This window comes from Homo sapiens, chromosome 14, assembly GCF_000001405.40.
Source record: "Homo sapiens chromosome 14, GRCh38.p14 Primary Assembly".
Classification (NCBI taxonomy): Eukaryota; Metazoa; Chordata; class Mammalia; order Primates; family Hominidae; genus Homo; species Homo sapiens.
The window spans coordinates 55,122,520-55,147,315 of NC_000014.9; the positions used below are offsets into that span (position 1 = coordinate 55,122,520).

Consider the following 24,796-nt stretch of genomic DNA (forward strand, 5'->3'; position numbering starts at 1 on the left):
CTCTTAGCTTCTCTGTGAAGTTTGCAACCTTGGTTCTGCCCTTGGCAGAAGCACATGGCACGCCCTTCAAAAGTGCAGAGAGGGGCAAATCCTCCTCCACGTTCCCTGATTTTCTGCACAAACTAGATCTCCCCAGCTCATTCCACAGAGATATTTATGGTTGCTGGCTAGCAGACATATTGAAAATATTCATGGCACGTTGCCAATGTGCAGATCTGGAAGAAACAGGAGCCTGTCAGTCCTGTTCCACCCCACCCTGCCACAGCCCTGGCAAGCCTCATGGGTCAGTTTGCACTGTGAACACTCCCACTTCATTGCAGGCGACGCTTATCAATAGCGGCCCTGGCCTCCTCCCTCTGCTCTCTGTAACATAACAGGCTGGCAGCGCCCAGAGAGGATTTTGACTATTCCAGTTTTAGTAAAAGGCTGGGGGAAATCCATATAAGCAAGTCTATTGTTCTTGGGGAGAAAAAGAGTATGACTTTGGTGTAGAGAAAAGAGGACAGAATCTGCAGAGGGACAGGTAGGAGGCAGGATGACAGTCCTGGAGAATGCCACAGGTGGAGGCCAGAACATGGTGGATCCGGGCAAATCTGAGCTGACAGTGGGCCAGGATGAGCTGCCTCGCAGGGAAGGTGCAGCCCAACCCCAGCTTCCCAGGAAAGACTTCCCCCTGAGTTGTAAGCCAGCAGTGTGGGAATCAGTGGGTGGGCAGTGTGGGATTCAGTGGGGAAATCCTACAACATGAGTCAAATAGCAGTAACCATGGTGACAACACTGAAAGCCAGCTCTCTCTGGCTCACGTCTCCACCAGCACACACACAGGACCCAGCCCTCCACAGTCAGGTGGCCTCCAGTGAGGCCCCATTTGGGTCTATATTCTGTATGAGGGCCCCTTGGTGGCAAGTGACAGAGACAAGCGTCAGCAAGCCTGAGCAGAAAAAGGATGCGAAAAGGGGAGGTGGGCCGGACGCGGTGGCTCACGCCTGCAGTCTCAGCACTTTGGGAGGCTGAGGTGGATGGATTGCTTGAGCCCAGGAGTTCAAGACCAGCCTGGAAAACATGGCGAAACCTCATCTCTACAAAAAATACAAAAATTAACCCGGCATGGTGGCACGCGCTTGTAGTTCCAGCTACGTGGGAGGCAGAGATGGGAGATTCACTTGAGCCCAGGAAGTCAAGGCTGAAGTGAGCCATGATCACGCCACTGCACTCCAGCCTGGGCAACAGAGTGAGACCCTGTCTCCAAAAAAAAAAAAAAAAAAGTGTTGGGGGAAGTTGGGGTTGGATTCCTTGGATTCAGAATCTGAGGAAAAAAAGAGGAAGGGTGTGGGGGCAAGAGCAATACACAAAATCCAAATGCAGATGTGAGACCAGGCCTCAGGAATTTAAATACTGCAGGACTCTCTCTGTCTTGTCCCTTCCCTCTGTACAGCTTCTCAACTCATCTCTGCAGACCGGCTTGCTCTACTCTTCCTTTATCATGGCAGAATGTGCTTGGCTCCCAGGCTGACATGGTGCAGATGCAGCCACACATACCAACTGACTCACAATCCGTCAGGGGCCCAAACTCAAGCTTTCAGGTGAGAGAAACCAAATACTCAGCTGCGTTAGGAATTCCTTCTGATTCTTGCTGCAGGTGAGCCGTGACTATTGGGGCCAGTGGCGTGGGGGGGAGGTAAGAGGAATTTATCAAGACAGTTGTAGATAAAGAAAGGCAGATTTATTAGAAAAAGTATAAAAATATGTTGCAAGGAAGCAATGGGCAGGCTGGCAAAAGAGAAGCTGAGTGAAAGGAGACAAAGGCTGGCTGGGGATTTTATAGGATGGAGCTCGTGCTGCGTGCTGAAGAGTTTTGTGTAGTACTGATGATGCCAAGGTTGCAGTGAGCTAACGTGCATTTTTTCTATCAGCCAAGGGTCTAGAGAGAGCTGGGAGCAGGCAGATTGTGAGTTATTTGCGCAAGAGGGCTATGTGTCCTGGACCATGAAGAAAGGCAGACTTATAGCTTATCTGCCTTTTTTTTTTTTTTTTTTTTTTTAGACAGAATCTCACTCTGTTGCCCAGGCTGGACTACAGGCACCTGCCACCATGCCTGGCTAATTTTTGTATTTTTAGTAGAGATGGGGTTTCACCATGTTGGCCAGGCTGTTCTCGAACTCCTGACCTCAAGCGATCCACCCATCTCTGCCTCCCAAAGTGCTGGGATTACAGGCGTGAGCCACCGCGCCCAGCCTGCTGTCTCTTTTTGCTTTCCCTTGATCCCACCAGCCCAATTCTCCACTTCCCCCAGCCCCCAATTAGGACTCCACAATTCTCCCAACTCCACTTAAGGTGAGAGGTCATGAAGTGCTAGCTCGGTTGCCGGGCCACTTTATGAGGATGGCAGGGAGGGGATTCTGAGAGGAGTGGACAGGAGGTGCCCCATGGGTGTCTATGCTGGCACAGGTCCCTGTTGCAACTCACAGTGTTATTCTTGCCATTCCCACTTTCTCGGATCTTTACAAGCCTGCCCCTACTCCTTATTTAGGTCTCAGCTCAAATACCACCTCCTTGGAGAAATCTCTGCTGACCACACTTGCTGAACTGACAGCCAGCTCCTCCCCTGCCCTTCTCTGATATGGGATGAATTGTGTCCCTCTCTCTTTGCAAAAACATTTATGTCAGTACCATCCGAGCCCCGGATACGTCAGAATGTGACTGTTTTTGGAGATAGGGCCTTTAAGGGGGCAATTAAGTTAAAATGAGGTCTTAATCTAATACGAATGTGTCCTTCTAACAAGAGGAGATTAGGACACAGACAGGCATATAAGAAAGACCATGTGAAGATATAGAGAGACGTAAAAGCCAAGGAGAGAGGCCTCAGAAGAAACCCACCCTTCCAACATCTGATCTTGGACTTCTGGCCTCCAGAATTGGGAGAAAATAAATTTCTGTTATTTAAGTTACTCAGTTCCTGGTGCTTTGTTATGGCAGCCTTAGCAAGCTGGCACACTCTCTATCCCTTTCCCTGGTTTTATACTTCCTCAAGAGGCAGGTTAATGCTGTAGCGTGGTTAAGAGCGTAGCCCTGGGTGTGGCTGCAATAAGGGCAGTAGTAGTGGCAGCAGCCACTTCCTGTCTATAGACAGAAGTGACTGGTGGGAATGTGGGTTTGGTGATGGCTAGTGCTGAAGACAGGCCTGGGTTAGGCTTGAAGGACAAACAAGGAAGGTTAGGCTGAGGTGGCCAGGGCTGAGGTTGGGCTGGAGAAGGGGTTTTGCACCTGCGGTGGCACCTGGGACACCTCTTCTCCCTGATGCTGTTGGCCTGCCCATCCAAGGCAGGAGGGGCTAGCTCCCTTCTAAGCAGGTTCTGGCTCTCACTCTGTCCCAGGGGGCTCTAGTTGCAACCCAGGTGGTAAGACCTTGTAAACCATCATTGGGCACATTACTGCCACCAACCCTATTTCATTTGTTGACCAGGTTTTGGTGAGCCTGTTCATTCAGCAAGCTAGAAGGGGTGGATTTTGCAAAATAGTTGAGGCATATATTAGGCCCCCACTAAAGGCCTTGGATATGAGTAAGTACATATAGATAACTGGGACTAGAAACAGCAGACAGCCACAGTCATTTCGTTCTGAAACTGGAAATTACTTTGTCTTCAAGGCATAAATGGTTCCCCAGAACACTCAGCCTCTCTTTCAGTCCCTAAGTCTGCCAGCCACCCAGATTCCAGTTGTTGGCACCAGAAAGACCAAGTGCCCTGAGGCCTGACTCAACTCTTCACTTGTCACCCAGATGTGTTAACACCATGTAGACACAGAATTGCCAAACTTGCCTGGGCTGCCCAGGGTCCAAATGTGAAAACTGGAAAGCAGCCGCTTTGCTCTTTTCTGGCTGTTCCTGTATTCTGCTGTCTACACGACTTAATACCAAGATTTTTGTTTATATTTCATAGGAACTTCAGCTTTTGTGAGACATTCTTTCCCTATCTGGCCCACTGTAGTGCTAATTTCTGGGAAATTTCTCTCCTCTTTTCTGGCTTGTTCCAGGTTCACTCACTTTTTATATTTTCATAATTCTTCTATTCTCCTCTCTTTTTCCTTTCTCTCTGGTTCTATTTTCCTATTTAAAAGGTGACTTTAAAAAACTGGCTTTGCTGCCGGGCGCAGTGGCTCACGCCTGTAATCCCAGCACTTTGGGAGGCTGAGGTGGGCAGATCACCTGAGGTAGGGAGTTTGAGACTAGCCTGACCAACGTGGAGAAACCCCATCTCTACTAAAAATTGGCCAGGGTGGTGGTGCATGCCTGTAATCCCAGCTACTGGGGAGGCTGAGGCAGGAGGAGAATCACTTGAACCTGGGAGTGGAGGTTGCGGTGAGCCGAGCAAAACTCCGTCTCAAAAAAATAAAATAAATAAATAAATAATCGGCTCTGCTTTCTTCTCCAATTACTGTCTTTCTTTCTCTTTTCTGCTTATCCTTAAAGACTTTCCCTTTTTGTTCTCATCTTCATCTCCTACTCTCTTCTGGCTCTAACTGAAGTTCTCACGCAGCTTCCCTCCTGACCTTCTGGACAGCCACCTGCTTTCCCAAGTTTCCTCCTTTCCCTCCTGTGGAGATGCCTCTCTTAGAATCCTTGCTTTTATCAGCGGCTTACAATCTCTGCATCCGTAGAAACCAGACAGCCTTTTTGTTTGAGGGCTAACACTTGCCTTGTCCCTATTTCAAATAACACAGTGAGCTGTACATAGAAGTTACTCAATGATATCTTAATTGATTTTATTGGGTTCCTTTTTACGCTTATCTTAGAAAAGGGATGTGACTTTGGATTGGGTAATAAAGAGCCGTTTATTGCATGTGTACAAATTATAAATTCCCAGGCACACCCTGATCATAGCAGGATCCTTTTGTTAGCTTTATGGGGCATGAAGTTGGCACCAAAGTATTCATGGGGATGTACAAGTAAGGAAGGGAAGCCAAAAGCATGTCTGATCATACAATCAGGTGTAAGCAAGCCCCCTAAGTAGCCAGGGCATGAACTTTGTCTATCTCTGAAATGACCAGAAGAAAAGGCAAGAGTGTGATTCATCCCTTGCCTCCACAGCAATTCATTTGGCTATCTACTTTTCTTATTACCAATGGCTAACCCTCTAAGGGTACCACTCCTGGCCATGAGGCCTCATGACTCAAAGTCTTAAGATTTATAGCATTTTCCCTGGAGACCAAGGGCATTCCTTTGGGTGATACCTTTTTACTACCCAGAGGTTAGTCATTTACTATGGGTGATCCATTCAAATAAATTGGTTGCCAGGCTACCTCTTCAGATAAGAGTTCAAACTTGCATAAATAATCCCCAGCCACACTGTGACTTCTATGTGCAAGCCTAGAGGGGACGATGTTGCAGGAACCGTGCCAACCACTAAGACACTTTCAAGTTTATCCTAGAGAATGCCAAGACAGCTTCTCAATTCCATCAAGTGAGTCCTTCACAGGAACATTTCCCTAAGTTGAAAAACTGCAGGAAATAATTTATCTTTATGTTATTAATTGGTTACTATAAGGGCTACAGGAATTATTTAGGAACCAGATGATACCTGGTTTTCTCCATAGTTTACATAAGCCAGTCCCTGCAAAGATTCTTCCCCTACCCCCCTTAATTTTTTTTTTTTTCCTCAGAGATCCTTGTTCCAACCTGCAAGGATTCTTTGGCCTGGTGCTTTTCCAGGTAAAGTGTAAGAGCCAGGATTTCTGGATTTTGTTCCTAGACATGAGTGAGCTTGGATAAGTAAATCATTTTCTCTTTTAGTCTGTTTGGGCTTCTGTAACAAAATATCATAAACTGGGTAGCTTATAGGCAATATACATTTATTTCCCACAGTTCTGAAGGTCGGGAAATCCAAGATCCAGGCCAGCAGATTTGATGTCTGGTGAGGGCCTGCTTTCTGGTTCACAGAGGGAGCCTTCTGGCTGTGTCTTCACAAGGTGGAAGTGGCAAGGGGTCTCTCTCCGGCCTCTTTTATTAGGGCACCAATCTCATTCATAAGGACCCTGCCCCTATGACCTAATCACTTCCCAAGGCCTCCACTTCCTAATACATCACCGTGAGGGTTAGGATTTCAACATATGAACTTTGGCGGGATATAAACATTCAGACTATAGCACCCTGACAGTAAAAATGAGATAATAATACTTATCTCTTTCTTCCAACAAAAAGATAAGGTGAAGTTAAAAGGAGGGTATATATATATATAATGTGAATTTCCTGTGTAAAATGTGTTAAAGAGTTGTCTGATTAATTGCTTTATAAGGGAATTGCTTTGAGACTAGGCCTATTGATCTAGAATAAGTAGTCAATTTGTAGTCAGTTCCCTAGGGAATAGACATTGAAAAGATTTTTGGTTTTGTATTCTACAAATAAAGCAACCTATTAATTGAATTCCTCTCAGCGAATTCTTCACTCAGGTGATTCTGGAGAGGGCGGGGGACAGACGCGGCCGCAGCCCAGGTCCCGGGAGCGCCACGGAACCTAACGGTGGCAGCGGAGGTCGCGCCCCTCAGTGCCCGCGCTCTCCCCGTCGGGAGCTTCCTGGTCGCCCCTGCGGCGGCGGCTCGGGGTGTCTGGCCGGCGCGGGGCTCGCCCAGCCTGGTCCGGGGAGAGGACTGGCTGGGCAGGGGCGCCGCCCCGCCTCGGGAGAGGCGGGCCGGGCGGGGCTGGGAGTATTTGAGGCTCGGAGCCACCGCCCCGCCGGCGCCCGCAGCACCTCCTCGCCAGCAGCCGTCCGGAGCCAGCCAACGAGCGGTGAGCTGCGCGGGGCGCGGGGGACGCGGCTCCGGCCGGGCAGGGGAGAGGGCGCCCGGGCGCTGCTTGGGGCGCGGTCCGGAGAGGGTTCGGCTCCCCGGGACCGGGCCGGGGCGCGCGCGGAGAGCCCCACAGCCTGTGCTCTGCCCTCCAGGAGCGGGGCGGCGGGCAGCGATCTGGGCCCGGGGCAGTCGCCTTTGATTATCGAGGGCGCTGGCGTTCGGGGAAGGTTGGCAGCACCTTACGAGACCCACACACGTCCCCGGGGCGGCACGGGCCACCTTCTGCGGAGCCTCGTGGGCTTCGCCGCCGTCGCACCTCCGCCGCCTGCGCTCTGCGGCCCCAGAGTAAGCCCCATCCGGTGACGAGCCGCAGTCTGGTCACCCCAGTCCCACCAGGTCCCGCTGCGAGGGGAGGCGGAGGGGCTCGCTCAGCAAACCAGACGGCCGCTCCAGTTTCTCTAATTGGGGTTGGAGCCCCGTCACCCTTCCCCAGATCACGGCCGCGGGGGAGCGAAGGGACTTCCCAGGACTGCATAGGGCGCCTCCCGGGACCCACAGCTTGGCTGGCCCGGCCCCTTTTGAGCATCAGCTGAGGCTGGACTTGGAGGAGATCTCGCTGTGGAGCGCGAATGAGTTCTTCCACCGGGACCAGCTGCGGCCGGGCTGCAGCCGCTGTCTGGTTGCTGATCCCACAGAAAATGGTGCTTGCCCCATGGCCTGAGTGGGCATGACCCGGCTTTGCAAAGACTGCAAACTCTAAGCTTTTCCGAATCAAATGCCCCTCCCTGCCCAGACTGTCTGTGCCCAGGAAATGGTGGGTGTGGCAAAATGTTGGTCCTAGCGTGCAGAGCCCTACCGGGGGGCTTTCACAACATGTTTGAGAGTTTATTCTGAATTATCGGGTGCTCAAATAGAAACACTAAAACGATTGCCCTCTGAGCAGTAGGCGTTCAGGTCCAGGGAGTCGGGGACGCATGGTGGAGGCTGGGACTTAGGTTTCAGCCTTACCCTTCAAGTTCGCCATGCGGGTTCCAGAGACTGCGGAATGTTTGTAAAGTGACTCTGGGAATTGGGTTGCTGCGCAATGAGGACACCTGGACCTCAGTGACTCAGGCTGTCTCTAGGATTCTGGGGAAGAAATGGGAGAAGGCTCAGTTAATTCTGAAGAAAATGAGACTGATACAATTAACTACTTGGGCACAGGGCCTGAGAAGAAAAAGCTTTCGTCAGCTTCCAAAGTTCTGATTTGTTTACCTAAGGTTTTTTTTTTTTTTGAGACGCAGTTTCGCTCTTGTTGCCCAGGCTGGAGTGCAACGGCACTATCTCGGCTCACCGCAACCTCTGCCTACCGGGTTCAAGCGATTCTCCTGCCTCAGCCTCCCGAGTAGCTGGGATTACAGGCATGCGCCACCATGCCCGGCTAATTTTGTATTTTTCGTGGTGGTGGTGGTGGGGGGGGGGGGGTCCCTCCATGTTGGTCAGGCTGGTCTCGAACCCCCGACCTCAGGTGACCCGCCTGCCTCGGCCTCCTAAAGTGCTGGGATTATAGGCGTGGGCCACTGCGCCTGGCCTACCTCAAGTTTATAAACATTTCATACTAGGAAATTGTGTGTTTCCATAAAAGGTAAAGTTGAATAATGATCATTTACTTTTCTACAACAATAGTCTCCCTTTTAGACATTGACTCTCAATCCTTAGGGTAGGGTCTCTCATTCTAAAGATGATCATACCCCATCCTTGATCTTTGGGGGACTTAAGCAACTTCCTAAATTCATAATATTTAGAGGTGATGTTTAAAATCAGCACTTAGTCCAGATTCTGGGGAGAAGTTTGATGATGGTCCTTGAATATTTAGCACTTAGAAGTGCTAGGAGGATGCCTCACTAAGTTACGTAAGAAGCAGAAGAGGACGAGTACCGCCTGATGGATTGACCCCGAAAACTAGCTGTGTCCAAGTAGAATAGGTGTCTCGCTCTGTTAAGCGGTCTTTAAACTATGATAGTTCGCTGTACTACAAATATGCATAGGTGCTTTACAAAGACTTTTCACTTAGTGAGGTCAAGAGGCTAATGCTGGTCTCATGTATAATTTAGGTACCTTTTTACATAGAACCCTCATTAGCCAGACTCTAAACCTTAACTGCAGCCAAGACCTTTGTTCATGTAGTATGCCTTCAGAATCTCGTGTTGACCTTAAATGCCAAGTGGCTTGTAAACTTATGTACTTGATACTTGTGGTAACTGATCTCAAACATAGCTCTTCTTTCCTGTGATCGTTTGGGACACAGGCTCCCACTCAAGGGTAGCTCCTTGTGTCTGGTGCCTGAACTGGATCTTCTCATTAAATTCTGAGTGGGTAACTTAAGAACCAGTCTAGGCTGTGCTTGCTGTATACTTCCAGTTCGCTATTGACCAAGTGTCATGTGTTCTCTTTTGAACTGTTCAGCTTTTCCGTAGGGGGGAAGATCAGTCATGAGAAGCAGAAAGTAACTCTACCTTCCTTGATGCCAGGGAGCTATGATGAGAAAGAAATCCTAGGAAAGGACCAGTTCCCCTTATTCCAACTTAGCATCACTGAATTTGTCTTTGGCAAATGGGCTTTCCTCAAGTCCTGCTCTGTGTTTCAGCAAGGACAGGAAGTAGACTGCCTCTTGTGTTACTTGAGGAGCAGTGTAGGGCAGTGCCTAGGGGCTCAGGAAGTAGTCTTCTTCTGTGACGGTTGCGCACAGGTCAGGGACCTTTATGAGCAGACATTTCAGAAGTGTTCCTGGGAACCCAGACAACTGGACTGATTGCTGGGTGGGCCTAGAATAGCATAGTGCAGCGGATAGCTACTCTTTGTTAAAGGGAAAAGCTACCAATTAACAGCCGATTAAAATGGTCTGTATTCTAACTCATGTTTAAATTCCTTATTCTGAAGCTACACTGAACTGCTTACTGTAGGTGTTTACAAATGTGGAGACCCAGCTAGTATTTCTCTACTTTTAGTTTATTTTTTGAAGTTTTTTTTTTTTCCCCTCTGACTGTTCAAAATTCTCTGATCCTGGAAACACCAGGGTGGGGTTCACATATCTATAGTGTCTGTAGAGTGGGAAGATTTGTGACATTTGATTGTATGTCTCTCTCTGTAAACTACTCATCTGAAAAGAAAAAAGAAAAAAATTTCAGGCAAGTAAGGATGATACTTATCTGAATAGATGTCTTTTTTGTTTTCCTGAAAGTTTTGAGGTTAATAATCTTGATTTCAAAAGAGCATCAGTTATAATGCTTTTCTTTTCTTTTTCTTGAGATGGAGCCTCGCAGTCTCCCAGGCTGGAGTGCAGTGGTGCCATCTTGGCTCACTGCAACCTCTGCCTCCCGGGTTCAAGCGATTCTCCTGCCTCAGCCTCCTGAGTAGCTGGGATTACAGGCGCCCACCACCACACCTGGCTAATTCTTTGTATTTTTAGTAGAGATGGGGTTTCACTGTGTTGGCCAGGCTGGTCTCAAAACCCTAACCTCATGATCCTCCTGCCTTCGCCTCCCAAAGTGCTGGGATTACAGGCATGAGCCACTGCACTCGGCCTATAATGCTTTTCAAAAAAGAAATCTCATGGTTGGAAGTTGACGGGGCATACCCAATTTTTGGAAAAGTACACTTTATTGGTTAAAATGTCATTATAATTAGCAAATGACTATACAAAATGGCATTCTTGTATTCAATATTCAATATTATTTTGTGCTTGAATGAATCACCCAGTTAGTTTTCTGACCAAAACACAATCCTTTTTAAAAAATTTGTTTACAATTTCAGTATGTTATGTAGTTACAGATGAGTAAGTCAGAGAATTAATTTCACAATGAAGTAATTAACACTTTCAAAGGACTGTACTTTAAAATTTCAAAGTGTGATGTTTTCTATTGGTGTAGAATGAGCCTAAATAAGGAGTAAAAAGACACGAGCCCTACTCCTTGATCTGCCAATGACAGATGACTTTGGGCCACCATGTTATCTCTCTGAGCCTCAGTTTCCTTATGGTGAGAACACAGTAGTCTCCCCCTTATTTTCAGGGGATGCATTCCAAGACCCCCTGTGGATGCTTCAAACCATGGTTAGTATCAAACCCTATATATACTGTTTTTTTGATCTGATAACCAAGCCTGCTACTAAGTGACTTGTGGGTGGGTAGCATCTACAGTGTAGATAGGCTGGACATAGGGATGATTCATGTCCCAGGCTGGACAGTGAGATGGCAGGACAGTACAAGATTTCACCACAAAGAATGTCATTATAACTAAAATAGATAAGGTATGTGAACATGCTTCATAAGCTGAAAAGCGCCACACAAATGCCAGGTTTTGTTCTAGTGGCCTTGTCTAATGTGTCGAGACACAATCTATACTGCCCTCCGAGGTGGTGTTGAAACAGTGGAAATGCAACGAGATCTGCTTTGTTTCCCAAACTGGATTTGGTTAGATTGGAAAATAAACTAAACATGCTTGAGCAGAGGCTTTGAAAAGAATAAATATTAAATTATGGAAATGCCTTCTTTATTTGACTTTCTGGTTGGAATCAGCCTTTAAACACATCTTAATTTGAATAGAGTTATGTTAGGACCCTTTATAAGGCAAATTCAGCTAGTTTTAACAATTGAAACTACCTTTTTGGTTTTTATTGAACCACGTGTGTACATTCATGTAGGGATACACTGCTAACTAGCTAGATTGGCGGTCCTCAACTAGCCATGATTTTGCTCCCAGGGGATATTGGCAATGTCTGAAGACATTTTGTTTTCCTTTTTTTGGTAGAGACTGGGGTTTTGCTGTATTGCCCAGGCTGGTCTTGAACTCCTGGGCTCAAGCAATATTCCCGCCTCAGCCTCCCAAATGACTGGGATTACAGGTGTGAGCCACCACACCTGGCCTGAAGACACTTGGTTGTCACAAGTTGGAGTGTGGTATGCTGGAGTTCTGGCAGCATATGTATTGAAGCCAGCAATGCTGCTGAACATCCTGCAGTGCACAGGACAGCGCCCCACAGCAAAGCATCTGACCTGAAGTGTCAGTGGTGCTGAGGTTCACAATAAGCTCCTGTGCAATGAGGACATTTAAAAGAAATCAAAATGTTGATAACGTTATTGCTGGGTCTTTGATATGTTGCCTTAGGGTGGAAGAAGTATGTGTAATTAAAGGAACTAAGCTTTCTGCCCACCTTGAAGTTCAAGATTGTTTCGTATGGCATCCAAAATGAGGGAGACTTTCTTTTTCTGAATTAAAAATTTTCATTTATTTTCCTTTTCTGTAACAACTCTTCTCTCAAGGTCCCCCTGCAGTAGCAACTTATACGGTTTCTTATACGGTAGTGTGGCAGCCTTTTGGGGAAGGAGGCACATGCAGAGGAGCTCACAACTTTTGCTTTAAAAAGCCAAGCACTACAGGATGTAACGTAAATGAAAGATGCAGTAACCTCTGGAGTCACCGTGACTTCCCTGTCAAGCTGCCAGCAGTTCCCTAGGTTGGAAAATGGGCATGGTCATAACCTAACCACTTCTGAATAGGTTTCAGAATGACCATGTTCAAAAAGAGATGTGTGGCTGGATGCGGTGGCTCATGCCTGTAATCCCAGCACTTTGGGATGCTGAGGTGGGAGGATCACTTGAACCCAGGAGTTTGAGACCAGCCTGGGCAACATAGTGAGACCCCGTGTCTAAAAAAAAAAATAACTTAGCTGGGTGTGGTGTTGTGTGGCTGTAGTCCCAGTTCCTTGGGAGGCTGAGGTGGGAGGATCACATGAGCCTGGGAGGTGGAGGCTGCAGTGAGCCCTGATATCATGTCACTGCACTCCAGCCTGTGCAACAGAACAAGACCCTGTCTAAAAAAAAAAAAGATGTGCAAAAATATTTTAGTCAAAGGTAATGTCTGACTATGATATAAATAATAGCAGTATAGTAAAGGATGAGCATCCCCAATGCAGAAATCTGAAATGCTTCAAAATCCCAAACGTTTTGCATGCCTGCATGATGTTCAGAGGCCATGCTCTACAGAAATGCTCACTGGAGATTTTGGATTTTGGCTCTTCAGATTAGGGATGCTTAACTGGGCATAAGGACATATTCCAAAATAAAAAAAAATGTAAATCAGAAACACTTCTGGTCCTATTTCAAATAAGGGATACTCAACCTGTATAAAATATCCAGTGTGTATAAATGAAGCATATGTTAAGCCCTAGGAGGAGCTCTGCCTGTTTGAGTTTTACCAAAAATAAGGTAATATTTTATGGTTTTTTTTTTTTTTTTTTTTTTTTGAGATGAGGTCGCTCTGTCACCCAGGCTGGAGTGCAGTGGTGCCATCACAGCTCACTGCAGCCTTGACCTCCTAGGCTCAAATGATCCTCCCACCTCAGCCCCTCGAGTAGCTGGGAACACAGGCATGCGCCACCACACCCGGCTAATTTTTGTATTTTTCATAGAGACAGGGTTTTGCCATATTGCCCAGGCTAGTCTTGAACTCTTGGGCTCAAGCGATTTGCCCACCTTGGCCTCCCAGTGTGCTGGGATTACAGGCATGAGCCACCACACCCAGCCAATATCTTGCATTTGAATCAAGTAGTGGACATTTATTGGATCCCTTGGGGCCGATGCCATTTCTAAAAGTGATTGAGTAAATATCACAGGTGGGCAAATCAAAGAGAAGGATATTCTGGTTGTTTCAAGGTCCAGGTAATTCAGGCCATGGCACAGGTGATCCTGAGCTTAGGAAGAACTCACCCATGCCTCAGGGGCCCAGCTGCCCTCCTCCCCTCACTGCTGGAGCACCTACAACAGCTGTGAAGCATCTTGTGCTTTTGGAGCCTTGACATGGGAAGGAACAGGAGAAAGCAGGACTGATGTCTCCAGACCACCCCTTAGGCAAACCCTCTTTGGTAGCATCTTAGACCCAAATATTTTTTTCCTTCACGTCACGTTGCCTGAATTTTTTCACCTTAGTTTGTTGTACTGCCAAATATTTTATTTGGAATAACAAGTACCTTTGAAAAAAAAAAAGCACATACAAACTTCAGCTCCCCTTTGAGGCTTAGCTCCAACAGCACCTTTCCTTTCCTTCTTAGAAGTAAGCTTTCTGGGTTTGAATTCCTACAGCACACATTCTGACTCATAGCATCTGTGACTTGTTATTTCACATTTCCATGGATGCATCTCATCTGCCTTGCTGCACTGTAGGCCCTTCGGCTTTTATTTTTTTTTAATTCTTAATCTTTATGGGTACATAGCAGGTATATATATTTATGGCATACGTTAGATGTTTTGACACAGGTATGCAATGCCTAATAATCACATCATGGAAAATGGGGTATCCCTCTTCTCATTTATTTGTGTTACAAACAATCCAGTTATACTTTTAGTTATTTTCAAACGTACAATGAAATTATTGACTATAGTCACCCTGCTGTGCTGTCAAATACCCGGCCTTATTCATTCATTATAACTATTTTTGTCACCCATTAACTATCCCCACCTCCCTCCCACCCTCCCTCACTACCTTTCCCAGCCTCTGGTAACCATCCTTCTATTCTATATCTCTGTGGGCTCAATTGTTTTGAGTTTTAGATCCTGTGGCCCCTTTGACCATGCAGATCATGGCCTATTCATCTTCACACCTAGATAGGAGCCTGCGCAGTGCCTGGCCAGGAGCAGGCATAAGTGTGTGCAAATAGAGGAATAAATAGCAGGGCAGCAACTATGTCTGGAGGTCATTGTCTTTCCTGTCTCAGTAGTAATCAATCACTGCTTATCTTCAAAAACCCAGAGTAGGGGATGGGGCAGTTAGTGGGGACAGAGGGCAGATGGGTAAGATTCAGAGCACAGGCTAGTGTGACGGAAGTTTAAACTTGTGAGTTAAATAGGGTTTGGCAATCTAGCTGGATAGCATCCCTGCCCCTTGAAGAGATGTTTTTGTGGCGCCACACTACTGACTTAGGCATAATGCCTAGAGATGGATTAGAACTGCACAATGAACTAGTGGTGAGGTTCAGTTTAATGGAAATTGGTGAAAGCTTTTAGGATAAAATGATAATCTTTGTTTCTTTCAGGAAAATGGCAGACAATTTTTCGGTAAGTGTTTTATGCCTGTTTCTTCCCCTTGATCAGCTCCACATGGTTGAGGGTTGGGGGTTTTGTTTTTACCATGACTTTCCCTTTTCACTCTCCCACTGCGTGGCTTCCCCTGGACTCATTTGTCCAATGAGGGCTTGCAAGCTGGAGCCTTGTTTTTCCAGCAGCAGATTTGGGAAGAAAGCCAGGCAGAGCGAGGCCTGGGACTCACTCACAGTAACCCTTTCACCAAAAGGCCCAGGGCGGAAGGGAGTGGACTCTGCCGGCAGGAGCTGAGAAATCCTCTGAGTAGCGGGAAGTGCGGTACAGTCTGGGCATTCTGATGTTTGTGATTGTTTTTCTCACGGTGATGAAAAAGTATGTGCTATAAGTAGAGGAGCGCTAACTCCTGACTTGAGCTAATTATGAAAATGCAGCCCTCCCTGATCTGAGACGTTGGGAGGCAAGAATAAAGTGAAAAAGTATATGTAATCCCAACATCTAATTTTAGTCTTAGAAACTCAAACTATTAATAAGTGGAAAAAGTTTAATGATATGCATGTAATGCCTTTGCCATATTCCTCTCCTTCTTAGATCACATATTCCTATTTTCCTGAAAATTCTGCTTTTGAGAATGCTTTCTGTCCCGTAATTGTGTATGTCTTTCTTTCCAGCTCCATGATGCGTTATCTGGGTCTGGAAACCCAAACCCTCAAGGATGGCCTGGCGCATGGGGGAACCAGCCTGCTGGGGCAGGGGGCTACCCAGGGGCTTCCTATCCTGGGGCCTACCCCGGGCAGGCACCCCCAGGGGCTTATCCTGGACAGGCACCTCCAGGCGCCTACCCTGGAGCACCTGGAGCTTATCCCGGAGCACCTGCACCTGGAGTCTACCCAGGGCCACCCAGCGGCCCTGGGGCCTACCCATCTTCTGGACAGCCAAGTGCCACCGGAGCCTACCCTGCCACTGGCCCCTATGGCGCCCCTGCTGGGCCACTGGTGAGATGGCATTCCTTCTTTCATGTACTTGACATGCAGAGGGCTTCAGGGAGACCCTGAGCTTTAAAGCTGCTGCTTAGAGCCACTTCTCAAGGGCCAGCCATGGGTGTATGTTGGTAGAGTCAAAAAATTAAGTGTTCATATTGAGCTTATTGTGTGTGGTTAGTATAAACAGAAGGTAATGAGTATTTTGAAGGCACTGATAAAACTGCTTATGAATATAAATCAAGATTGTAGTAATGGAGAACATTTTGGTTATTATTAACACTTACGGAGTACATGTCAATAGTATGCATCTACATGGATAATCTCATTTAACCCCATTACCACGCTATAAGATACTGTTAATAACCCCATTTCACACATGGGGAAATGGGGCAATAGAGAAGTGATATAATTTGTCCAGGGTCATTGAGCAAACATGTAGAGGAACCAGGGTAATCTGGTTTTGAAAAACCTTCTAAAGATAATTTTGTGATCTAAGGGTTGAATTTTCACGCAAATTAAAATATGTCATAGCAAGTGAATTCTAAGTGTAAAACATAACTCCATGGGGGATCCAGATACATCTCAGCCACAGGATCCTTCCTTTCCAGATTTATAATCTAGTTGGATGATAAAACATATAATAAATATGAGGAAAGAGCTAAGTACCAGTATGGGATTAGACCATTTCAGGACTATGCAGAAGACAGCACAAGGTAGCATTGTCTCCTTTTAGGTCAGTTTAGAGTAGAAAGACTTGGGGGAGTGGGTGGCATTGAGAGGGCCTATACCAGAGATGGTTAGTCAGTTGCAGAGAGAGGGAGACATGAAGGCTGTGGAAAGGAACAGGCAGATGTAAGAGAGATTACAGAGGAAGAACCCCCAGAATCTACTGATTATGTCTTAGGAGTCATAGAGGACTCTGACTTTTCAAGGCTGAGCAACTAGAGCCATCAGCAAAGCTTTAGCCCAAACTGGGAACTCATGAAGGGGAACTGATGGGGGAGGGGGTAGGGAAGACCATTCTAGTTCACACTTGTTGAATTTGAGGCACTAGCAGCAAATCTAGGTGGGAGGAAGTACAGGACTAGTACACACCAGGACTAGAAAGAAAATATTTGGATAGGCTGGGTGTGGTGGCTCATGCCTGTAATCCCACCACTGTGGGAGGCTGAGGCAGGAGGATCACTTGAGTCCAAGAGGTTGAGGCTGCAGTGAGCTATGATCACACCACTGCACTCCATCCTCAACAACTGAGACTCGGATTTTTGAGACCTTGTCTCAAAAAATAAAAAGGTTTGGGTGATAGTTAAACCCAGGGGGAAGTCTTAAAAAGGGAAAGAAAAGAGGCCATAAATAAATAGAGCTTTGGGGATATTCACAGTACCTTGAATGTAGTTGGTCAATAAACATTTGTGGAATGAACCTCACAGTGTTAACAGTGTTCATTCCATAAATATTGAGTATCTGCCATATGCAAAGCACTCTGCTGGAGCCATGTGAGTACAAAGCATATGAGAACCCACAAGCCCAGAATGTGATATGCTGCTTGCCCCCAGGAAGCAGAATATCCACAGTAAAGCATGTACCATGACAGGGCCTTAAGAGTGATACAAAAATGTTAATGTTGATCACAAGATCTAGCTTAAGCCTTTCCAAAAATAGTCAACATGAATGAGTACAAATTGGGATGGCCGTAGTAATGAGATTTACTGATGGCTTTCTTTTCAATTATTTGTACATCTAGGGAGCCTTATCTCTTTGGCCCCTGGGCAAAGTGGCCTGAGAGTCTGGACAGATGGCATATACTAGAGTTATGTGTTTTTCACACATATTAATAGTGATGGAACTTTAGCAACATCGTTTTTTCCCCAAAGAAACATGACTCCTTATTGACACATATGTACTTGTTAATTCCCAGATTGTGCCTTATAACCTGCCTTTGCCTGGGGGAGTGGTGCCTCGCATGCTGATAACAATTCTGGGCACGGTGAAGCCCAATGCAAACAGGTAAGGAGAGCAAAATTAACAAGTCTACTCTATTTGTAGATTGGTTTTTGAATAAAGAATGGCCTACTTTTTTTCTTCTTGCCCTGTCTTACAGTGCTATTTTGAATTTTAGTAAAATTTTAAAAACTACATATTTAGAATCTTGGCTATACCATCATATAGGATTATCCCATAAATCCATACATATTCCCATATAATTTTGCTAAGCATCATGGCACTCATAGTAAACGGTAACACACCTTATTCTATACTTTGATATGTATTATGTCAGCTAATCTTCATGGCTGAAGGCAGGATAAGGAATATTGCTCTCCCCTTTTTATAGACAAAACTGAGGTTCAGGTTCTACAGATGATCAGTGGCAGGCCTGGGAACCCGTCTTTTGAGCAGATACTATTTGCTTATGGGTTTGAAGAGATTCTACAAGTTAAAAACTTCATCATTATAAATCAACCTTTACTATTGGAAGTAGTTTGATTGATGAGGTGGGCTAGGATGGGGTGAGGCTTTATTTAGGAAAATACATGCTAATTATGGCTGTCCTGGGCTGCTTGGCCCTGGTTGTCACCACTGGTTATGTAGTACTTACATATCATACAAGGAAGCTGGCCATGTCCTGAAACCATCTGAGATGCCTGCCCCTAAGGTTAGTGGAACTGTCTCTAGGTCTTATGGACAGTACCTAAATGGCACAAATTCAAGCCATGTACACAGGTTTATGCAAGAATCCATAAACAGTCTCAGTGTCTGTCACCTTGCTCCACATCCTGCAATCAAGAGATGGACTTCACTTCTGATCTGATAATTTCACATTCAAATGCTCATTCCCTCCACCTCAGCCAGCCTCCTCTGCTTCTGCAATGGTAGTCACTATCCTAAGCCAACCCATCTTTCCACACAGCCTAGACAATTTCTGTAAGCACAGAACTTCCCCGTACAATAATGCCCGTCTCATAGCAAATTACAAAATATATACATCCTCTACCTATGTCCTTATCCGTATTTCCTCCCAACATCACATAGAACCCAGCACACCTTATCCTGTGCACACAGCACTCATGATTTATTAAATATCTGCTCTCCTCCTCCCACAACCCCTAACGCACACTGAATACCCAGTTTGGTATCCTTGTCTTGTTAGAGTCATTTCACTGGAAAGTTTAGTTCTAATAATGCTAGAGATGTAGATTGAGACTGGCAGATCAAAACTAATTCTGGTTGAAATGGTTAATGGTAGTAAACTTAAAAAAAACTGTTGCTTAGTCCTGCAAATTCTATATGACGAACTGTGTAGAAAAAAAAAGTGCTTAAGGTGACAGAGATGACAACATTGTATATTTAGTCAAATACAAATTCTATGCTGTTTTTTCCTTACAAATTTAATCACTGGAAGATCATTTGTGGTTGAATGTGACTGTTACTGGGTGAATCAAAATACACAGACAATCTTTGTTAGTTGGTCTAGAGTGCAGATTAAAATACGAATACCTACTGATGACTCTGGTGTTACCGCTCTATAGAGCGCACTTTGAGAAACTCAGGGATGGGGTTAGTCAAAGAGGACTTGTGTTTGCATTAACCTCCAGGGAGAAGGAACAGGGTCAAAAAGCTAAACTAGCAATTTCATTGGTTCTGGCTCACATCATAGAATGTTTACCACATTTACTATCATGACTTTACAACTTAGCAACAAGATACTGAATATTAACTACCTTATCTCATTCTTGCTGTTTTAGAGGAACTAGGGCTTCTGGTTAATTATGAGGAAGCCAGGTATTTGATGGCTGTTAACTATATAGCTGGCTTGCCTTTACCAGGTATTGAAAGCAAACTGGAAGAGCAGGAAAGAGATAACCATTATCTATAGTAAGGGATAAAGTGTCCTCAGAGTGGCTCTAAACCTCTGTAAGAAAACCTCGAAGGGTTTTCATGAGTCTGTAGGGGCATTACAGATGAATGGAAATATGATCGAAGACAATGAGGCAAAAAATTCAACATCTATTGTCTTGCTTACCTTTAGATTTTGTGATAGTACATAGAATATCAGGCATAGGATATTTTCCAGTTTGAACCCATTCTGATTTATTTGCTTTCCATTCAGAAAAATTTCCTAGGTACTGTATTATGAAATTATTTGCTTTTTAGAAAATTACATGTTCTTTACACAGTGCAAATGTACAGCTTTAATCATTTTAATAACTGGTCTTTGGTTTAAAACAGAATTGCTTTAGATTTCCAAAGAGGGAATGATGTTGCCTTCCACTTTAACCCACGCTTCAATGAGAACAACAGGAGAGTCATTGTTTGCAATACAAAGCTGGATAATAACTGGGGAAGGGAAGAAAGACAGTCGGTTTTCCCATTTGAAAGTGGGAAACCATTCAAAGTAAGTTATTGCTACTATTATATATTGATAATGTATATTTCTCATGAGGAATCACTCTAAAACCCCAAAGCACTTGAAGTGAGAGTTTTTATCACCTCTCCTAAGGTGCCTAACCAGTTTATCTTCTCCCTGCCCAGGGGACCAGGCTCAGCAGGCTGAGAACATGGCCAGGAGTGGCACACTCCCCAGTTCCTTTCAGGCACCTCTCCATCATCACTGCTGCCACCCCTCTGAGTTTAAGCCTTTCTAGAAATGAAAAGAATATAATCTTTAACAAAAAAGGCAAAAAGTCTTTATGGTACAGTTATACTGCGACTTTGTTGCTTAAAACACAGTTGGCAGAGAGATGAAAACTAAAGGTTTTTTATTCTAAAATTAAAGTTTTATGAAAAGTTTATAAATTTTTAAATTAACAAAGTTTCCTATCTTTTACTCCTTCCCCCATCCTCACAAAGTTGCAATTCGATGAGTATCTTCCCAGTATTTTCTGACATACAGCACGCTTTTTATTTGTAAGCACTGCTTCAACAAATTAGATCCACAGCATTTAGGGTTGACTATAGAGTGGTGAATAAAACAGCTGGAGTGTAAACTCTTCAACAACAGGGACAAATAAGGACCACAGTCTACATTTGGTGGATATCTTTTCGTATCAGAATATTGTTACTTAATAGCACTTTTTTTTTTTTTCGAGACAGAGTCTCGCTCTGTCGCCAGGCTGGAGTACAGTGGCACGATCTTGGCTCACTACAACCTCCGCCTCCTGGGTTCAAGCGATGCTCCTGCCTCAGCCTCCCAAGTAGCTGGGATTATAGGCGTGCGCTACCATGCCCAGCTAACTTTTGTATTTTCTGTAGAGACGGGGTTTCACCATGTTGGCCAGGATGGTCTTGATCTCTTGACCTCGTGATCCGCCCACCTCAGCTTCCCAAAGTGCTGGGAGGATTACAGGCATGAGCCACCATGCCTGGCCAGTAGTATTTCATTTTTAGATATGTGATAATTTAACCAGTACCCTACTGATGAAAATTTACAGAATAGAAACACTCCAACCTGGAAAGATTTTACTAAAATACTGTAATAACTATCCTTACAAATCTTTGCTTCCTAGAAGCAAGTCTTCTAGAAATCTTTGCTTCCTAGAAGCAAGTCTTCTAGAAATCTTTGCTTCCTAGAAGCAAGTCTTCTAGAAATCTTTGCTTTAAATATACATGTTTACAATTTAGATATTGTCAAATTGCTGCTTCCAAAAAGATATAGGAATGAACATCCACTATTGGGAAGAGTAGATTTCTCCTACCCTTGCCAAAACTGATTATCATCAATCCTTACAACATTTGCCAGAGGAATCCTATTTTCGTGTTTTTCTTTTAGGTGTTTTAGACCATATCAGAACTTTTGGTTGTTTTGAGACAGGGTCTCACACTGTCACTCAGGCTGGAGTACAGTGGCATGGTCACAGCTCATTGCAGCCTGTCAACCTCCCAGGCTCAAACGATCCTCCCACTTGAGCCTCCTTAGTAGCGGAGACCACAGATGTATGCCACCCACGTGTGGCTAATTTTTGTATTTTTCTTGTAGAGATGGGATTTCACCATGTTGCCTGGGCTGGTCTCAAACTCCTGGGCTCAAGATCCGCCCGCCTTTGCCTCCCAAAGTGTTGGGATTACAGGCGTGAGCCACCACACCCAGGCTCTTTTAAGTTTTTATGCAGGCAAATCTTTAGCCTCCACCTTTATGGCTTCACTTATGTATCCTTCTAATAAATTTGCTGCTTTAAAAAAAAAACCTGAATAACTTGGAATTTTTTTGTTGTTGCTTTTTGTTTTTTTGAGACGGAGTCTCACTCTTTCGCCCAGGCTGGAGTGCAGTGGCACTATCTCGGCTAACTTCAAGCTCCGCCTCCTGGGTTCATGCCATTCTCCTGCCTCAGCCTCCCAAGTAGCTGGGACTACAAGGTGCCCGCCACCACAATCAGCTAATTTTTTGTATTTTCAGTAGAGATGGGGTTTCACTGTGTTAGCCAGGATGGTCTCGATCTCCTGACCTTGTGATCCACCCGCCTCAGCCTCCCAAAGTGCTGGGATTACAGGCGTGAGCCACCCCGCCCAGCATAACTTGGCATTTTTGCTGTAAAGTTACTTTCTCTGGATCTTAACTGGTCCCACAAATGATAAGGATGAAATGTTGGACATCCTGGGCTCAGGCCAGACTGGTTTGAAATTAATGGACATTTTTTCCCTTTATTTCAGTTGACAAAAAATTGTTTCTATAGTGCAGATGAAATATGTATATATTGTGGAATGCCTAAATCCAGCTGACATATGCATTACCTCATGTAACAGTTTATGTATATGCCATTTCAGATACAAGTACTGGTTGAACCTGACCACTTCAAGGTTGCAGTGAATGATGCTCACTTGTTGCAGTACAATCATCGGGTTAAAAAACTCAATGAAATCAGCAAACTGGGAATTTCTGGTGACATAGACCTCACCAGTGCTTCATATACCATGATATAATCTGAAAGGGGCAGATTAAAAAAAAAAAAAGAATCTAAACCTTACATGTGTAAAGGTTTCATGTTCACTGTGAGTGAAAATTTTTACATTCATCAATATCCCTCTTGTAAGTCATCTACTTAATAAATATTACAGTGAATTACCTGTCTCAATATGTCATTTAATTGGAGTGGTTTATTCTAGATAATGCACAATGGAAAAAATATGTAGCAATATTAATACTGCATTGGGGCCTCAAGGTTTCCTATACTTGTTAAAATATTTTTCTTAAGGAGAAAGTAAATATTACCACAAAATTATCTCTTCCAGAATTTCATAAAAATCAGCTGTTTCAAGAAAATTATTCTCTCATTTTCTTAAGGAAATATAACATGTTCAGGAAATCAGAATAGCATTAAGAAAAAGTTAACCTATAGATGACCTATGACCCATAGACAATTATTGTTAGGATTCTGGTATATTTCTTGACGGCTTTTTAATCCTATTTTCTCCTTCTATAGTTCACTGCTTTCAAATCAGTAATTTGATACCAATATAGGACCATCTCCCTGGTTTTTATGAAATCTCTTATGGAGAAAAAGGTATCTTATATAGTCGGCTTTCAAAATTTAATTGTTCCCATCGTCAACATTCTTGCCCATGCCTTTCTACCCTTATTAGCAGCAAGCCCAAAGATTAATAAAATTCCAAAACTAGGATGTGGCAAAACCACTTCATCTTATAGAAGACCAACATTTTTTTTTCTTTTTTGAGACAGAATCTGACTCTGTCGCCCAGGATGGAGTGCAGTGGTGCGACCTCAGCTCACGGCAACCTCCACCTCCCAGGTTCAAGCAATTCTCTGCCTCAGCCTCCTGAGTAGCTGGGATTACAGGCACCTGCCACCATGCCCGGCTAATTTTTGTATTTTTAGTAGAGACAGGGTTTCACCATCTTGGCTAGGCTGGTGTTGAACTCCTGACATCGTGATCCACCCGCCTTGCCCAAAATATTATTTTATACAATACTATCTTTTCAAATCTGTTAAATCAGTAATTGTCACAGGTTGGGTCTCCCAGGAAGCAGAGAGATTAGATCTCAAGAAGCTTGTGAGGGAGTGTACTTGCAATCAATACATGTGGGGATGGGAAAGACATGATTGAGTTGAGGGAGAAGTTGAGCAGCAATAACTTACCCTACCCTAGGGGGAGTTCTGAAGCTGGGATTCTTCTTCAGAGCTTCAAGCGGGGCCAGGCCTTTTTATACCCCCACTTTGATCAGTCACTGACTATAGGACACCTGGGAAAGAGAATGTGACCTGAGATGAAGTGGCTCTCTTCAGCTGAGGCAACATAATCCTCACAAGGGATGTCAACTGAGGGCTGCCTGCCAGCAGCACTTCCTGTAGCTCAAGGAATAAGTCCTCTATCGCTAAACAGGGATGTGGGCAGCATATCATAGCATATTTCAAAAAATTTCTTACCCTAACATTCTGGTCTTGACTATTCTATTCTTATTAAACAAATGGAAGAACATAGCTTTGGAGAAAAGAGAGAACTTGGTTTATACAAAATTACTTAAATCCTCTGAGCCTTGGTTCCTGTGTCTATAAAATGCACACAGCTCTTATAGAGTTACTGTAACATTAAGTAAAATATTGTTTGCAAAGGGACTGTCAAAAAGTAAGTCCTCAATAAATAGAAATTCCCATTCTATTTTTGTACAACTTTTTTCTCTGACAATACACCGCATTAAGAACTCTTGCTCTGTCCAAAGCAGTTTTCTTTCATTTTGTCTCTAAAAATTTTCCTAATACCTCATAATTCTAGACTCCAATAGCCAAGCACATTATCTAGTAAGGGACACTGATGGTTGCCTACCCAATATCCATTCCATTTCCTAAGAGCCATGGTTTTATTCAGGTGTGATCCCAGATTCAACAGGGAATTCTGATTAAGTCAGTCCCCTGCTGGCTCACTGATCTGCAGATGGGGATGTGGCATTAGTTGGTCTAATCAGGCCAAAGGGAAGGACATAACTCTAACTGCCACTAGCAGCCATCTTA

At 44.7% G+C, this 24,796-nt stretch overlaps 2 protein-coding genes across 4 annotated transcripts, besides 3 other annotated features; both read left to right on the forward strand.

Annotated features, from left to right (window-relative positions):
* The first annotated feature begins 330 nt into the window (after positions 1–330).
* LOC124903319 (uncharacterized) lies at positions 331–2,948 on the forward strand. The gene is made up of 3 exons (XM_047432036.1): positions 331–680; positions 1,436–1,583; positions 2,531–2,948. The coding sequence occupies exons 1-3, from the start codon at positions 536–538 to the stop codon at positions 2,583–2,585; spliced, it is 348 nt and encodes a 115-aa protein (XP_047287992.1). The 5' UTR covers positions 331–535; the 3' UTR covers positions 2,586–2,948.
* Positions 6,429–7,028: a silencer, noted in NCBI's record as "silent region_5780". NCBI's record gives its function as "represses an Ori minimal core promoter by ATAC-STARR-seq in GM12878 lymphoblastoid cells {active_cell/tissue: GM12878}" and the evidence as "EXISTENCE:reporter gene assay evidence [ECO:0000049][PMID:35858748]".
* LGALS3 (galectin 3) lies at positions 6,733–22,911 on the forward strand. 3 transcript variants are annotated; one of them, NM_001357678.2, is made up of 7 exons: positions 6,733–6,781; positions 10,833–10,873; positions 14,851–14,872; positions 15,526–15,849; positions 17,756–17,844; positions 20,065–20,230; positions 22,597–22,904. In NM_001357678.2, exons 2-7 carry the CDS (start codon positions 10,836–10,838, stop codon positions 22,750–22,752), a joined length of 795 nt encoding a protein of 264 aa, NP_001344607.1. In that variant the 5' UTR covers positions 6,733–6,781; positions 10,833–10,835; the 3' UTR covers positions 22,753–22,904. The 3 variants fall into 3 exon arrangements, 2 of the variants coding, with proteins under 2 accessions (NP_001344607.1, NP_002297.2); NM_002306.4 differs by lacking the exon at positions 10,833–10,873; NR_003225.2 differs by lacking the exons at positions 6,733–6,781; positions 10,833–10,873 and having other exon boundaries at positions 14,464–15,849; positions 22,597–22,911.
* Positions 7,379–7,568: an enhancer, noted in NCBI's record as "active region_8427". NCBI's record gives its function as "activates an Ori minimal core promoter by ATAC-STARR-seq in GM12878 lymphoblastoid cells {active_cell/tissue: GM12878}" and the evidence as "EXISTENCE:reporter gene assay evidence [ECO:0000049][PMID:35858748]".
* Positions 10,832–11,126: a silencer, noted in NCBI's record as "tiled region #5571; K562 Repressive DNase matched - State 12:CtcfO". NCBI's record gives its function as "represses a minimal TATA promoter and a strong SV40 promoter by Sharpr-MPRA in K562 cells {active_cell/tissue: K562}" and the evidence as "EXISTENCE:reporter gene assay evidence [ECO:0000049][PMID:27701403]".

Coding starts and splice junctions, on each gene's coding strand:
- LOC124903319 (XM_047432036.1), top strand. CDS start 536: ATGACAGTCCTGGAGAATGCCACAGGTGGAGGCCAGAACATGGTGGAT. Junction 681..1,435: donor GAAAGACTTCCCCCTGAGTT/GTAAGCCAGCAG, acceptor CCCTCTGTACAG/CTTCTCAACTCATCTCTGCA. Junction 1,584..2,530: donor GCCCAAACTCAAGCTTTCAG/GTGAGAGAAACC, acceptor CTCCTTATTTAG/GTCTCAGCTCAAATACCACC.
- LGALS3 (NM_001357678.2), top strand. CDS start 10,836: ATGCATTCCAAGACCCCCTGTGGATGCTTCAAACCATG. Junction 15,850..17,755: donor GCGCCCCTGCTGGGCCACTG/GTGAGATGGCAT, acceptor GTTAATTCCCAG/ATTGTGCCTTATAACCTGCC. Junction 17,845..20,064: donor GTGAAGCCCAATGCAAACAG/GTAAGGAGAGCA, acceptor GGTTTAAAACAG/AATTGCTTTAGATTTCCAAA.